The sequence below is a fragment of the Homo sapiens genome, chromosome 6 (assembly GCF_000001405.40).
Source record: "Homo sapiens chromosome 6, GRCh38.p14 Primary Assembly".
NCBI classification, from domain to species: Eukaryota; Metazoa; Chordata; class Mammalia; order Primates; family Hominidae; genus Homo; species Homo sapiens.
Window position 1 is genome coordinate 112,965,928 of NC_000006.12, and position 17,668 is coordinate 112,983,595.

Consider the following 17,668-nt stretch of genomic DNA (forward strand, 5'->3'; position numbering starts at 1 on the left):
CACAAATTAAAAGAATTAATGAGATTCCATTGTTACTCTTATGTAACAGATATAGAAGATTTTTATCTCCAGTATTGATAAGGCTATGAAAGACAATCGATTTAATATATTGTTTTTGAGTTTATAGATAGGTATTACTTTTACAAAGGGTCATCTGGGAATATAGCTCTTAAGTACGTGTGTCATGTACTTAAGTTTCATTAAACATGAAACTTCTGTGTAATTTGTTTAGTATGAGCTCATGGAGATCTAATACTCATAAACAATAGAGTTAACTGTATTAGTGGATACTCAAGCATCCTAAAATATCATTTTGAATTTCCAGCCAGATAAAACTAATCCATGTGATTAGGACCTATTTGGTTTAAATAAGAGGCTAAAAATGTGCTGTTTGTCTTTCAGTTCAAACAATTAGATTTGACAAATAGCTTCTGCAAAGCACTGTATCATTGATGTGGGAATGAAAAAAATTATAATAAATCTTATTTCAGAGAGCTTAATATAGAATCAAGAAAACAAGATATAGCTGATGTAAATAATTAGAAAATATCTTACATCACAATAGCAAATGTGAAATAATGTAATGGTATCCTTTACACTGGCACAAGACAAGGATGCCCTCTCTCACCATTCCTACTCAACATAGTATGGACGTTCTAGCTAGGGCAGTTAGGCAAGAAAAATAAGTAAATGTTATTCAAATAGGAAGAGAGGAAATCAAATTATCCCTGTTTGCAGATGGCATGATCCTACATCTAGAAAACCCCATCACCTTAGTCAAACAGCTTCTTCAGCTGATAAGCAACTATAGCAAAGTCTGAGGATATAAAATCAATGTGAAAAATTGCTAGCATTCCTATTCACAAACATCAGTCAAGCCAAGAGCCAAATCATGAATGAACTCCCATTCTTAATTGTCTCAAAAAGAATAAAATACCTAGGAATACAGCTAAAAAGGTGTATTAATTTATTTTCACACTGTTATATTACCTGAGACTGGTTAATCTATAAACGAAGAGGTTTAATTGACTCACAGTTCTGCATGGCTGGGGAGGCCTCTAGCAACTTATAATCATGGCGGAAGGCAAAGGGGAAGCAAAGTACATCTTACATGTCAGCAGGAGAGAGAGAGCATGCAGGGGAAACTGCCACTTTTAAACCATCAGATCTTTAAGGAACTCCCTCATTATCATGAGAACAGCATAGGGGAAACTGCCTCCATGATGCAATCACCCCCCATCAGGTCTTTCCCTCAACATCTGGGGATTAACAATTTGAGTTGAGATTTGGGTGAGGGCACAGAGCCAAAACTTATGCCACTCCTGACCCCTCCCAAATCTCATGTCCTTTTCACATTTCATAACCAATAACCAATGATGCCTTCCCAACAGTCCCCCAAAGTCTTAACTCATTCCACCATTGACTCAAAAGTCCAAGTCCGAAGTATCTTCTGAGAGAAGACAAATCTCTTCTGCCTATGAGACTGTAAAATCAAAAACAAGTTAGTTACTTCCAAGATACGATGGGGATACAGCATTAGGCAAATGTTTTCATTCCAAATGGGAGAAATTGGCCAAAACAAAGGGGCCACAGGTCCCATGCAAATCTGAAACCTGGCAGGGCACTCATTAGATCTTAAAGCTCCAAAATAATCACCTTTGACCCCATGTCTCATAACTAGGACACACTGATACAAGGGGTGAGCTCCCAAGGCCTTGGGCAGCTCCACCCCTGTGGTTTTGCAGGATACAGTCCCTGCAGCTGCTTTCATGGGCTGACATGGAGTGCCTGCAGCTTTTTCAAGCACATGCTGCAAGCTGTTGGTGGATCTACCATTCTGGGGTCTGGAGGATGGTGACCCTCTTCTCACAGCTTCACTAGGGAGTGCCCCAGTGGCGACTCTGTATGGGGGCTCCAACCCACATTTCCCCTCTGCATTTCTCTAGTAGAAGTTCTCCATCAGGGCTCTGCTTCTGCAGCAGACTTCTGCCTGGACTTCCATGTATGTCTGAACAACCTCTGAAACCTAGGAGGAGGCTTCCAAAGCTTAACTCTTGTCTTCTGTGCACCTGTGGGCCCAACACCACATGGAAGGTGGCAAAGCTTGGGTATTTCACCCTCTGAAGCAATGGCCTGAGCTGTGTCTTGGCCCCTTTTAGCCACGGCTGGAGCTGGAGTGGTTGGGACACAGGGTGCCATGTCCTGAAGCTACACAGAGCAACAGAATGCTGGGCCCAGCCCATGAGGTCATTTTTCCCTCCTAGACCTCTAGGCCTGTGATGGTGGGAGGGGCTGCCATGGAGGTCTCTGATGTGCCCTGGAGACATTTTCCCCATAGTCTTGGCAATTAACATTTGGCCCCTCCTTACATATGTAAATTTGTGCAGCCATCTTTAATTTCTCCCCAGTAAATGGGTTTTTCTTTTCTACCTTATGGTCAGGCTGCAAATTTTCCTAACCTTATGCTCTGCTTCCCTTTTAAACATAAGTTCCAATTTCAAACCATTTCTTTATGAACACATATAACCGAAGGCTTTCAAAATAAGCCAGGTCACATTTTGAATGCTTTGCTACTTGGACATTTATTCTGCCAGATACCCTAAATTATCTCTCTCAAGTTCAAAGTTCCGCAGATCTCTAGAGCAGGGGCTAAATGCCACCAGTCTCTTTGCTAAAGCATAGCATAAGTGACCTTTACTCCAGTTCCCAGTAAGTTCCTCATCTCCTTCTGAGGCCACCTCAGCCTGGGCTCCATTGTCCATGTCACTATCAACATTTTGGTTAAAAACCATTCAACAAGTCTAGAAATTCCAAAATTTCCCACATCTTCCTGTCTTCTTCTGAGCACTCCAAACTGTTCCAACCTGTGCCTGTTACCCAGTTCCAAAGTCGCTTCCACATTTTCAGGTTATCTTTACAGACTACCTCACTCTGTTGATACCAATTCTCTGTATTAGTCCATTTTTACACTGCTATAAAGATAGTGCCTGAGAGTGAGTAATTTATAAACAAAAGAGGTTTAATTGACTCACAATTCTGCATGGCTGAGGAGACCTCAGGACATTTACAATAGTGGCAGAATGTGAAGGGGAAGCAAGGAACATCTTACATGTTGGCAGGGGAGAGAGAGTGTTCAGGGGAAACTGCCACTTTTACACCATCAGATTTTGTGAGAACTACCTCACTATCATGAGAACAGCATGGGGGAAACTGGCCCCATGATCCAATCACGTCCCACCAGGTCCCTCCCTCAATTCCTGGGGATTACAATTTGAGATAAGATTTGGATGAAGACACAGAGCCAAACCATATCACAAGGGAAGTGAAGGACCTCTACAAGGAGAAATACAAACCACTGCTTAAAAATATCAGAGATGACACAAACAAATGGAAAAGCATTCTGTGCTCATAGATAGGAAGAATCAATATCGTGAAAATGGCCATACTGTCCAAAGCAATTTATAGATTCAATGATAGTTGCACTAAACTACCATTGACATTCTTCATAGAACTGGAAAAAAACTTTTAAAATTCATATAGAACCAAAAAAAGAAAAAAGCCCAAATCATCAAGGCAATCCTAAGCAGAAAGAACAAGGCTGGATACATCATGCCACCTGACTTCAAACTACACTATAGGGCTACAGTAACCAAAACAGCATGCTACTTGTGGAAGAATAGACAAATATATCATTGTAACAGAAAAGAGAACCTAGAAATAAGACCACACACTTTTAACTATCTGAGGTTCAACAATCCTGACAAAAACAAGCAATGGGGAAAGGATTCCCTATTCAATAAATCTTGCTGGGAGAACTGTCTAGCCATATGCAGAAAATTGAAACTGGACCCCTTGTTTACACCACACACAAAAAAATCAACTCAAGATGAATTAATCACTTAATGTAAAACCCCAAACTATAAAAAATCTAAAGGAAAACCTAGGCAATGCCATTCAGGATATAGGCAAGGGCAAAAATTTCTTGTCTAAGACAAAAAAACAATTGCAACAAAAGCAAAATTTAACAAGTGGGATCTAATTAAACTAAAGAACTTCTGCATAGCAAAAGAAACTATCAACAGAGTAAACAGCCGACCTACAGAAAGGGAAAGATTTTACACTATGCATCTGACACAGATCTAATATCAAATGTCTATAAGAAATTTAAGAAAATTTACAAGAAAAAAGAAACCACTCCATTAAAAAGTGGGGAAAGTACAGGAACAGACAGTTTCCAAAAGAAGACATACATGTGGCCAACAATCATATGAAAAAAAGCTCAACATGGCTATTCATTAGATAAATGCAAATCAAAACCACAATGAGATACCATCTCACACCAGTAAGAAGTCAAAAAGTAACAGTTGCTGACAGGTTATATAGAAAAAGAAATGCTTTTACACTGTTGGTGGGAGGGTATATTAGTTCAACCATTGTGGAAGGCAGTGTGGCAATTCCCCAAAGACCTACAGACAGAAATACTATTTGACCCAGCAATCGCATTACTGGGATATACCCAAAGGAATATAAATCATTCTATTATATAGACATGTGCATGCATATGTTCTTTGCAGCACTATTCACAATAGCAAAGACATGGAATCAGCCTAAATGCACATCAGTAATAGACTGGATAAAGAAAATGTGGTATATATACACCATGGAATACTATGCATCCATAAAAAAAGAAGGAGGTTATGCCTTTTGTGGGAACATGGATGGAGCTGCAGGCTGTTATCCTTAGCAAGCTAACACAGGAACAGTAAACCCAATACCGCATGTTCTCACTTATAAGTGGGACCTAAATTATGAGAACACATGAACACATAGAAGGGAACAGTGCACACTGGGGCCTATTAGAAGGTGGGGGGTGAAAGGTGGGAGAGGATCAGGAAAAAAAACCTACTGACAACAACTCCCATAACACATGTTTACCTATGTGACAAACCTGCACATCCTGCACATGTACCCCTGAACTTAAAAGTTCAAAAAGGGGCCAGGTACGGTGGCTCAAGCCTGTAATCCCAGCACTTTGGGAGGCCCAGGTGGGCGGATCACGAGGTCAGGAGACTGAGACCATCCTGGCTAACATGGTGAAACCCCGTCTCACTAAAAATACAAAAAATTAGCCGGGCATGGTGGCGGGCGCCACCACTACTCCGAGTAGTCTCAGCTACTCGGAGGCTGAGGCAGGAGAACGGCGTGAACCTGGGAGGCGGAGCTTGCAGTGAGCCGAGACCGCACCACTGCACTCCAGGCTGGGTGACAGAGCGAGACTCCGTCTCAAAATAATAATAATAATAATAATAATAATAATAATAATAATAATAATAATAAATAAAGTTTAAAAACCCTAATGAATCTGGGAAAAATATTCATGATGTGTTGTTACTTTGTGGAGGGAGGTGTGACATTAAAAATCAGTTTAAAAAGTTTGAAGGCACTACACTAATGGGACAATAATTATTATCTCTGAGAATTGAGATTGCTGCCACTTTTTTCTTCTTCTCACTAATCTATGGTTTCTAATTCCAATAATTAAAATGCCGTCTTAGTAAATATGTAGTGCTCACTTTGGCAGCACATGTACTAAAATTGGAATGGTACAGAGAAGATTACCATGGCCCGTGTGAAAGTATGACATACAAATTCGTGAAGTGTTCCTGAAACCTGCACATATCAATATTCACCTGAAATTGAATGGGCTAAATGCCCCAATTAAAAGGCACAGAATGGCTACTGAATAAAGAAGCAGGACCCAACATTATGCTCTCTTCAAGAGACCCGTAGGCTCAAAGTAAGGGGATGGATTAAAATCTGCCAAGTGAATGGAAAACAGTAAAAAGCATAAGCTGCTATTCTAATTTCACACAAAACAGACTTTAAACCAACAATGGTTAAAAAAAGGACATTAAATAAACATAAAGGGTTTAAGTTAACAAGACATAACTTTCCTAAAGAAATATTCATCCAACACAGGAGCACCCAGATTCATAAAGCAAGTTCTTTAGAGACCTATAAAGAGACTTAAATAACCACACAATAATATTTGGAGATTTAAACATTCCACTGACAGTATTAGATAGATCATTGAGGCAGAAAAATTGACAAGTGGAACCTAATTACACTAATTTAACTAAAGAGCTTCTGCAAAGCTAGAAACTATCAACAGTGTAGACAGACAACCTAGAGAATGGGAGGAAATATTTGCAAACTATACACCCTGCAAAGGTCTGATATCCAGAATCTATAAGGAACTTAAACAAATAAAAAACAAAAAAGCGCATTAAAAACTGGGCAAAGGACATGAGCAGGCACTTTTCAAAAGAAGATATACAAGTGGCCAACAAGCATATAAGAAAAACCTCAACATCACTAATCATTAAAGAAATGCAAATCAAAACCGCAATGAGAAATCATCTCACACCAATCAGAATAGCTATTATTAAAAAGTCTAGGCCGGGCACGGCAGCTCCCGCCTGTAATCCCAGCACTTTGGGAGGCTGAGGCGGGCAGATCATGAGGTCAGAAGATCAAGACCATCCAGACTAACACGGTGAAACCCTGTCTCTACTAAAAAATACAAAAAATTAGCTGGGTGTGGTGGCGGGTGCTTCTAGTCCCAGCTCCTTGGGAGGGTGAGGCAGGAGAATGGCGTAAACCCGGGAGGCAGGGCTTGCAGTGAGCCAACATTGTGCCGCTGCAGTCCAGCCTGGGTGACAGAGCGAGACTCCATCTCAAAAAATAAAATAATAAAATAATATAAAAGTCAAAAACCAACAGATACTGGCAAGTTTGTGGAGAAGAAGGAACGCTTATACACTGCTGGTAGAAATGTACATTAGTTCAGCCATTGTAGAAAGTAGTGTGGTGACCTCAGATAACTTAAAAAAGAAGTACCACTCAACCCAGCACTCATATTTTTGGAAATGTACCCAAAGAAATTACATCATTGTACAATAAAGACACATGCATTCATATATTCATTGCAGCACTATTCAGAATAGGAAAGTCATGGAATCATCCTAAATGTCCATCAATGGTAAACTGAATAAAGAAAATGTGGTACATATACACCATGGAATACTATGCAGCCATTAAAAAGAACAAGATCATGTCCTTTTCAGCAACATGGATGGATCTGGAGGCCATAACCCTAAGCAAACTAATGCAGGAACTGAAAACCAAATACTACATGTTCTCACTTATAAGTGGGAGCTACACATTGAGGACATATGGACACAAAGAAGAGAACAACTGACAACAGGACCTACTTATGTAGATACTATCAGGTACTATGCTATGACCTGGGCAATGAAATAATCTATACATCAAACTCCAGTGACATAAAACTTACCTACATAACAAACCTGCGCATGTACCCCTGAATGTAAAATAAAAGTTTCAAAAAGTATATTATAAATTATATATAATATATTCTATTTCAACATTAACAAAATAATAAATAAATATGTAAAATTTCAAAATTAAAGTCAAACTACAAAAAGAGATATTAATTTTAATTATTTCAATGACCACAGATTCTAAGCTTTTCAAAGGAGATCACAATCTTTCTGTTATTTTCTTCCTGGCATTAGTTTTTTTTTTTTTTTTTGGTTTTTAATTTTTTTTTTATCAGTTACACATATTTCTAGGAAGTGTAGTAGCAAAAGGGCCCACAAAGATCCCTTCCAGCATCTGATTGAAATGGTTGAGGAGAAATTAGAAGTTAGAAGGTAGGGCAAAAAATTCATTGGTCTAAAAATTAAGAAACCATGCCAAATAGTTTATATATGTAAAGGAATTTCTGCCAGATAGTGAGAACTTCGTATGAAAAGTGACAGAAATCAGTGTACAACTCCATTTCCTGAGAGAGCACTGGTGTATTATGGAAGTTATATAAAAGAAGTACTGATAAATTTCTCCATCATTTATTTTCTTTTTTATTTTCTTTATTTTTTCTTTTTTTCCTTTATTTTTTAAATTGACAAATACTATGTATTTATGGTATACAACACGATGTTTTGAAATAGCTATACATTGTGAAATAGCTAAATGGAGCTAATTAATAAATGCATTACCTCATATTCTTATCATTTTGTTTTAGTAGGAACACTTAAAATCTACTCTTTTAGTAATTTTGAAGCATATAATACATTGTTCTTAACTGTAGTCACTATGCTGTACAATAAGTCTTTAAGATTATTCCTCTGTCTAACTAAAATGTTGTACCCTTTGACCAACATCTCCTCAGTCGTTCTGGAACATCCAGTGCCTAGTAGACACCATTCTACTCTCTGCTTCTATGAGTTCAATTTTTTAGGTTCCACAAATAAGGGAAATCATCCTGTATTTGTCTTTCTGTGCCTGGCTTACCTCACTTAACATAATGTCATTCAGGTTCATCCATGTTGTTATGAATGAACAGGACTTCCTTCTTTTTAAAGCTGAATATTAATCCAATGTTCATATATACCACATTTCATTTTTTCGTTCATCTGTTGATGTATACTTAAGTTGATTCTTTATTAAACTATTGTAAATAATGCTGCAATGAACATGGGAGTGCAGATATCTCTTCAACATACTGATTTCATTTCCTTTGGATATATATCCAGAAGTAGTATTGCTAGATCATATATGGTACTTCTATTTTTAATTGTTTAATGAATCTCCATATTATTTTCTATAATGGCTATACTAATTTGTATTACCACAAACGTACAAGAGCCCCCTCTTCTCCACATTCTCACCAACACTTGTTATCTCTTCTCTTTTTGATAATAGCCATCCCAACAGATGTGAAGTGATACCTATTGTGGTATAACTTGCATTATCCTCATGATTAGTGATATTTTTTTATATACCTGTTGTCCATTTGTATGGTTTCCTTGTGAAATCTCCATTCAAGTCATTTTCCCAGTTCAATATGGTTATTTGTTGTTGTTGTTGTTGTTTTTGCTATTGAATGGAGATCCTTATATATTTTGGATATTAACCCCTCATATGGTTTTGCTGTGTCCCCACCCAAATCTCATCTTGAATACCCATTGTGGGAGGGACCCGGTGGGAGGTGATTGAATCATGGGGGCGGGCCTTTCCTGTGCTGTTCTCATGAGAGTGAATAAGTATCACAAGATCTGATGGTTTTAAAAATGGGAGTTTCCCTTCACAAGCACACTCTCTTTACTTGCTGGCATCCATGTAAGACGTGACTTGCTCCTCCTTGCCTTCTGCAATTATTGTGAGGTTTCCCCAGCCAGGTGGAACTGTGAGTCCATTAAACCTCTTTTTCTTCCTGGTCTTGGGTATGTCTTTATCAGCAGCATGAAAATGGATTAATACAGTAAATTGGTACCAGTAGAGTGGGGCATTGCTGAAAAGATACCCGAAAATGTGGAAGCAACTTTGGAACTGGGTAACAGGCATAGGTTGAACAGTTTGGAGGGCTCAGAAAAAGATAGAAAAATGTGGGGAAAATTTGGAACTTCCTAGAGACTTGTTGAATGGCTTTGACAAAAATACTGATAGTGATATGAACAATAAGGTCCAGGCTGAGGTGGTCTCAGCTGGAAATGAGGATCTTGGGAGCTGGAGCAAAGGTGACTCTTGTTATGTTTCAGCAGAGACTGGAGGCATTTTGCCCCTGCCACAAAGACTTGTGAAAGTTTGAACTTGAGAGAGATGATTTAGGGTATCTGGTCGAAGAAATTTCTAAGCAGCAAAGCATTCAAGAGGTGACTTGAGTGCTGTTAAAGGCATTCAGTTTTAAAAGTGAAGCAAAGCATAAAAGTTTGGAAAATTTGCAGCATGACAATGCAATAGGAAAGAAAATCCCATTTTCTGAGGAGAAATTCAAGCTGGCTGCAGATATGTACATAAGTAACAAGGAGCTGAATGTTAATCCCAAAGACAATGGGGAAAATGTCTCCAGGGCATGTCAGAGACCTTTGCAGAAGCTGGTCCCATCACAGGCCCAGAGGTTTAGTAAGAAAAAATAGTTTCATGGGCCAGGGCTAGGGTCCCTCTACTGTGTGTAGTCTAGGGACTTGGTGCTCTCTGTCCCAGCTGCTCCAGCTGTGACTAAAAGGGGCCAAGGTACGGCTCTGGCTGTTGCCTCAGAGGGTGAAGGCCCCAAGCCTTGGCAGTTTCCACATGGCATTGAGCCTGCAGGTGCACAGAAGTCAAGAATTTAGGTTTGGAAATCTTCGCCTAGATTTCAGAAAATGAATGGAAACACCTGGATGCCCAGGCAGAATTTTGCTGCAGGGGTGGGGCCTTCATGGAGAACTTCTGCCAGGGCACTGCAGAAGGCAAATGTGTAGTGTAACCCCCACACAGAGTTCCTACTGGGGCACTGCCTAGTGCAGCTGTGAGGAAATGGCCACTCTCCTCCAGACCCCAGAATGTTAGATCCACTGACAGCTTGCATCATGTGCCTGGAAAAGCTGCAGACATTCATTGCCAGCCCATGAAAGCAGCTGGGAGGGGGGTTATACCCTGCAAAGCTACAGGGGTAGAGCTGCCCAAGACTGTGGGAGCCCACCTTTTGCATCAATGTGACCTGGATGTGAGACATGGTGTCAAAGGAGACCATTTTGGAGCTTTAATGTTTGACTGCCCCACTGGATTTTGGACTTGCATGGGGCCTGTAGCCCCTTTGTTTTGGCCAATCAATTTCTCCCATTTGGAATGGTTGTATTTACCCAATGCCTGTGCCCACATTGTATCTAGGAAGCAACTAACTTGCTTTTGATTTTACAGGCTTACAGGCAGAAAGTACTTGCCTTATCTTGGATGAGCCTTTGGACTGTGGACTTTTGAGTTAATGCTGAAATGAGGCATGAGTGCTTTTGAAATGTGAGGCCATAAGATTTGAGAGGGGTCAGGGGTGGAATGATATGTGTCCCCACCCAAATATCATCTTGAATTCCCATGTGTTGTGGGAGGGACCCAGTGGGAGGTGATTGAATCATGGGGGCAGGTATTTCCTGTGCTGTTGTTGTGATAGTGAATAAGTCTCATGAGATCTGATGGTTTTTAAAAGCAGGAGCTTCCCTGCACAAGCTCTCCCTCTTTGCCTGCCACCATCCGTGTAATATATGACTTGTTCCTCCTTGCCTTCTGCCATGATTGTGGAACTGCGAGTCCATTAAATGTCTTTTTCTTCCCAATCACAAGTATGTCTTTATCAGCAGCATGAAAATGGACTAATACAACCCCTTATCAGATGTAAGGTTTGTGAATATTTTCTCCTATTTTATAGGTTGACTCTCTGCTTTGTTGATTACTTCCTTTGCTATGTAGAAGCTTTGTAGTTTGATGCAATCCTATTTGTCTATTTTTGCTTTTGTTGCCTGTGCTTTGGGATCATGTCCAGAAAATCATTGCCTAGACCAAGACCATGGAGCCTTTTCCCCTATGTTTTCTTCTAGTAGTCTTACATTTTCAGATCTTATGTTTAAGTATTTAATTCATTTTGAATTGATTTTTATATATGGTGTGAGATAAGTATCCAATTTCATTCTTCTGCATGTAGACATCCAATTTTCTTAACATCACTTATTGAAGAGACTAGAGACTGTCCTTTCCCCATTGTGTGTTCTTTGCACTTTTATAAAAAATCAATTGACTGTATATGGGTGGATTTGTTTCTGGACCACCAATGTATCCTAATTTAAAGTAGTGGAAGATGAAGATGAAGGCATTTGAAAGCCTTTTCTGATATCAAATTTGCTATACTCGTATTTCCTTTCTTGACTTTGAAAGACCTATAGCATTTAAGAGCAAGGATGCCATTCAATTCTCTCTCTTACATTGTCTGTGTTTCCCTTAATTTTCTACAAAGTTCAAAGAAGGTGTTACCAAAAATGTTCTTATCTGTTCTGGGGTATGCTATCAAAATATCCTATCTCCTCATCTAATTTTGTATGCTTTATGTATTTTCTTATTTTTTAGAAAAATTTTATAAGCCCCACATTTATTGCTTTTTTTTCTTTTTATGTTTGAATAGATTCAATCCATGTAGGCATACTGAGTGCCAAGACTTAATACTAGAAGAATCTTCTTGGGAGACCAGTGGTCTCTAGCTGTGGTGCTACATTAAAGATAGAAATTACAGCAGATCCTTTGTCAGAAACTACTCAAACCAAGAAGTCAAAGGAGTGGCATTCTTAAAGTGCTGAAAGCAAACAAAACAAAACAACCTGTGAACTCAGGATTCTATGAGCAGCGAAAATATTTTTCAAAATGAAGGAGAAATAAAGCCTTCTCTAGACAAACAAAAATTAAGAATTATTAACTGTAAAACCCTCTACAAATTTTTAAACAAAAGTTTTTAGACAGAAGCAATGATACCACACAGAAAAATTAAGTATAATAAGTTCTCATTTAGCATCTTGGATAAGTACGTGGAAACCAAGACTTTATGTGAAATGATGGACAGTAGGTCCTAGAATAATGTCATTTAGTTCAATGCTATTTCTTTATTATGTTGATAAGAAAAAAGCTGGTTTTGTTTTATGTCATTTTACTTAAAGTTGCAGTTTCCAAGAATCTATTGATGATGTGAAGTGAGGACTTACAGTATACACAAAGAAGTGAAGATCTCTGGAAATGGCTAAAATAAAGGTAATTATAATAGGAATTTTTTATTATTTTTGATTACTCTAAAACAAAATTATGTTTCTATTACAAAATTAGTAGTAATATATTTTGTATTTGTAGCATGTATACAGGTAAAATGTATAACAACAATAGCATTAAAATCAGGAGAGAGGAATGGGGATTTTACCCCAGGAGAGTAGGTAAGGTTCTTACTTTTCACCTGAAGTGCTATGATATTTGATACTGGTTTTGGAGCTAGATGACATGAATTCATTCAGAATTTTGAAAGAGTGAAGGAACTGGAATGTTTGGGATTATAAATGCCATCAAATATATTATACTGGGAGTATTTCTGTCTCACCATAAAGCTACAATCATTCACTTTGGAAAGCAAAGAAACCGACAGACAAATTAAGGTTAATCATTGTCTATTGTGGTAAACAATGCTAAATTTTAGCAATGATAGTAAATTATCCTAGAGGATATTTAAGTTTAGGCTTATCATCAGAGCTTTAAATTTTTGATCATGTTCCATGTCTTCTTAGTGATTTTACAAAGTTCTCCAGAAGAAATAAACCTACTAAATTTTATCAGGAAAGCAATAACAAACTATTACAAAATGTAATGAAATTAGTACCTAAAAAAGTCAGATATAATTTGTATGAAACAAAACCACAAGAGGAGAAAAACAACAAAAGGAGAACTACAAAGCTGAGAAAGACATGAGTAATTATGGTGAATTCTCCATATCATTAAAATGATTTATCAACTCTATCAGTTCAAGGCACACTAAGTTTGGAATGAAATTGACAAAATTTGCTTAATTAGCTGTACTACTACAGGCCTATCCCTTAGTATGTCATTCATTGAACAAATGAACCTTAAATGAATGACCAATTCAACATTGGCCATTGACATTGAAGCTTCAGAGAGGATGCCAGGGTCACACTGAGCCATAGCTTAAGGCAAAAGAAAAATTCATTGACACTGATGTACCTTTATTTAAAATTATGATGTTTTAATTCATTATGGATTTTCTAAGTTAATTTTTATTTTTACAAATATTACACTGTATATTTTTATCTTGATTACTGAGTTTCGCAGCGCCTCCTTAAATTTTGTGTCCAAGACATGTTCCTCACTCATCTCACCCTAGTCTTGGCCATAAAGAATGATACCCAGGGTATTTCTACTGCTAAAACCTTTGCTCTGTGTGGTGTTCTAATTGTAAGACAAAACAAAACAAAACAAAAGTCAATATGTGAAGAATAAGAATCTAAGTCATATCTACTTTGTATTCAATTAACAGTATGAACCTTCACATCCTGGAAATATAGTGGTTAGAAAGCATTTGAGTTATGACCTTTGTTTTATGACAAAAGAGCAGAACATTTCCTCCCATGAATAACATAAGGGAATGAGACCAATTAGCCGTTTAGGGTTATGCATTTCCGTGTTCTCAGAGAACAGAGGTCATTTACTGAAAATCAGTCAGAGTCAAGTTTTTAACTCTCCTCTCCGTGCTACTAATGCCCTCGGGACAAAAAAGCTGGAAGATTGCCAATCCAGTACATTTTTTATTGTCTAAGGGACATTGGAAGAGAATCCATCAGTGACTTGAGAGACACAGGCCCCAGCCAAATGAGGATAGCACGAGTGAGAGAAAAATTCATGAATAGGGAGCAAAGATCTTTTCATAGCTCTTTAACTGTGTCTGTTTTATAAAATTTAAATTTGTTCATTTTGTAATAGAGTTGTGAGAACATGTATTTGTCTCCCTTGATAAAACCTCTGACTCATCTTTATCATCCACAGCACTATAATTAAGAAGTGGGTTTTCAATAACTATTAGATAATTAAGAATTAATTAATAAAGGAATTTCTAATTTATCCTAAACTCACAAAACATATTTTAGGAAAACATTTTTACAGAAGAGTATTACATCATACATTCTAATTGATCTCAAATTAGTGCACCATTAACTTTGTCCATTAGGATGAGAAATTAATACCTTATTAGCTCCAGATGAGCCTTAAATACAGTCATGCACTGCAAAATATTTCAGTCAGTTACAGACCACATATGTCAAAGTGGTCCTATAAGATTATACAATATTTTTACTATACCTTTTCTATGTTTACATACACAAATACTTAGCATTGTGCTTCTGTTGCCTGCAGTATTCAGTACAATAACATGCTGTACAGGTTCATAGCTTAGGAACAATAGGCTATACCATACAGCCTCTGTGTGTAGTAGGCTACATTATCTAGGTTTATGTAAATACACTCTATAATATTCACACAAGGACAAAATCGCCTAATGATGCATTTCCCGAATGTATCCCCATTGTTAAGTGATGCATGACTGTATATCTAAATCACAGCTGATATCTAGAACATATTACTGCGTGAAAGAAGTCATTCAATTACACTCTACTGTGTGACATGTTCAACTGTGCCAAGTTAGGTCTGCTTTTCTATTTTGATTCAGAAGAAAAAAGAAAGAAAAACATGAGGGGACACATATTCCAGTAGAGGTTCACCATCTCAAATATAAAAAAGCAAATGCTGGAGAAAGTGAGGAGAAATAAAGAGAGGTAAGAATTAGTCAATTTGAGAAATTCCAGGACAAACATACTTGAAATTGTAAAAAACATTATTACTTAATGACACATTTGGTAGGGCTGCCTGAAAACTTGGAAAAAGGCTTCTGAACAGATCAAGTTTTAGGGAGGAAGCTATCATTCATCAAGTTATGAATAAAAGGATATATTAAACATGGAGTTTTTCATCAGTAAAAAACTCCAATTACAATGGACAAATATATTCTGTAACAGAGTTTGCCAAAGATATAACTGTTGCCCCCTACATATTGTCAAACTCATTTTTCATCAGTGGCAAAATTTTAATTGACTTTAATAATGTTTATTGTTATTTGTTTCTTAATTATCCTTTTCCATTTAGTTTTTGCTTGTTTTTATATCTTAAAATTGTTCCCTTTGTCACATGGTTTGTGCTTTAAAGTTCCTCTGCTAATTTATTTTTCTACAGTTACATACTAGTTAACCACATTGGATTCTATCCTTTGTTTATATTTTTACAACATAAATTTAATTCTAGTTTCTCTCACTGGATCAAAACTATTCCCTTTTTTACTAAAGTATTATTTCTGGGCATATTTACATTCTAATTCCTTAGGGTTCCTCTTATTTTACTCAAATAAATGTTTGCCACATTCAAAAATTAACCTACTATATTATTTTCATAAAGTTGAACAGTTTTACACATAATTTTAAAATACTTGTTTCTAATTTGGCTCTTATTATTTTAAGAATTTAGGCACTTTAACTTATTTGGTCATAAGTGATCATTTTCACATTGAAATCCACTAACATGAAAAATAAAAACATACAAATGTCTTTTGCTGCGCATATGGTAACCTTTTCTAGTTTGAGAGTCCCACTTGTTAACTGGCTAGGACTGATATACCAAAATATGGTATAATATTTTGAGAAAGATTTTACCTTATGCATTTGAGCAATTTTCTTTCTTTGCCTTGGGTGTTCATGTCTGTGTGTGTGTGATAGTGTGACAATGATTGAGATTGCTTTAGTATATGGAATTACATATTGCTATCTGTGAAAATAGAAATTGTGTCCTTTGTCTCTACTACCCAAAAATTTTCAAGAGATACTAGAAATTTTATCATCTTGACATTTTATATAAACAAACCTGGCTTATTTAAAACAAACATAATTGAGCAGCATATTTTAGTCTTGGCACACGGCAGATGGTTAAGAGTTGTGTGGAGAATCAATAACCTATACCTCAACATGGCTGGCCTTCCATGCAGTGCTGATGATGCTGTACCTTTCAGTGAACCAGCAAATGCAGTAACATGTTAAGCAGAGCTGTTTATTAGAAGGCAGTATGTGAGCAAAGTGCCAAAAAGGGGGAACTGCTGACAGTGAAAGCAAAGACTTTCTATATCCCCAAGTCTCTCTTGATCAGTTGTTAGGCCTTTCTGGTCCTTAGTCTCCTTATCTGCAAACTGCAAATGCTTGCCTGGATCTCTGGTGTTAAACTGTGTCTTGTGGCACCTTCAAAGTGAGTGAAGATGCCTTAAGGGCTGCCTGACAGATGAGAGGAAGCCTCTTGAAATAAAACATTAGACATTCCTTGGGCAGATCGATTTGGTGTTATCTCTTTGCTGTTATCTACAGTGGATATTGGGACTTCATATAAGATTTTATTTGCAACAACGCTTTGATAACTAACACATTTGAAAACTATCTAATGGTGTTTTCCATTTTAAAAGCCAGTTTTCTTATGGATTAAATATAATATGTAAGATATAATGAATCATATATCTTTAATTGCACCTTTCAGCTTTTATAAGGTTGCCACATTCATCACCTCATTGAATCATGTGTTAGGACAAGTGTGATCCCCACTTTGCACAAGAGGCTCAGAGCCATCACATTATCTGTCCTGGTAACACCAGGACTAGAATCTAGTCTCCTCCTAGATCCACTCCACTCTACCATCTCTCTTCCTTTTGTGTCAGATCCAATATGACAGCTGCCATTTTCCATTCTAATTTGGACTTACTCATCTAACAGAAAGATTTTGACTAATTCTTGTGGCACATCTAAACTCAGTGTATATAAATTGTTCATAGAGTTTTATAAGAATTATATGAATAAAAGAATAAATGAAATTATATGAATAAATGAATCATATATCCTTTTATTCATAACTTAATGAATAAATGAATTATATGAATAAATTATATGAATATATGATTTTACCCCAAAAACATGTCTTTAACCTAGGCACGTATGATGGATAGATTTTCAGTTCTAAAGAAAGCTCTCTATTGCCTGTACAAATCGTAGCTGAGTGATATCCACAGGGCACTAAATGTTGTAACTAACCTTCATTTCCCTACATCCGCTAGATTTTAGCAATGGTGCCTAATAAGAGTTAGTTGTGTTTGTTCCCCAACTTGGTGTTGCCTCTTTTCTTGATGTTATAATTTATAATTATGCATTAATTA

General features: G+C 37.2%; 1 pseudogene, besides 1 other annotated feature; it reads left to right on the plus strand.

The window, feature by feature from the left end:
* Positions 3,097 to 3,297: a silencer, noted in NCBI's record as "peak6046 fragment used in MPRA reporter construct". NCBI's record gives its function as "represses an SCP1 promoter by STARR-seq MPRAs in K562 erythroleukemia cells {active_cell/tissue: K562}" and the evidence as "EXISTENCE:reporter gene assay evidence [ECO:0000049][PMID:32103011]".
* On the plus strand, positions 5,566 to 5,672 carry RNU6-1163P (RNA, U6 small nuclear 1163, pseudogene; annotated as a pseudogene).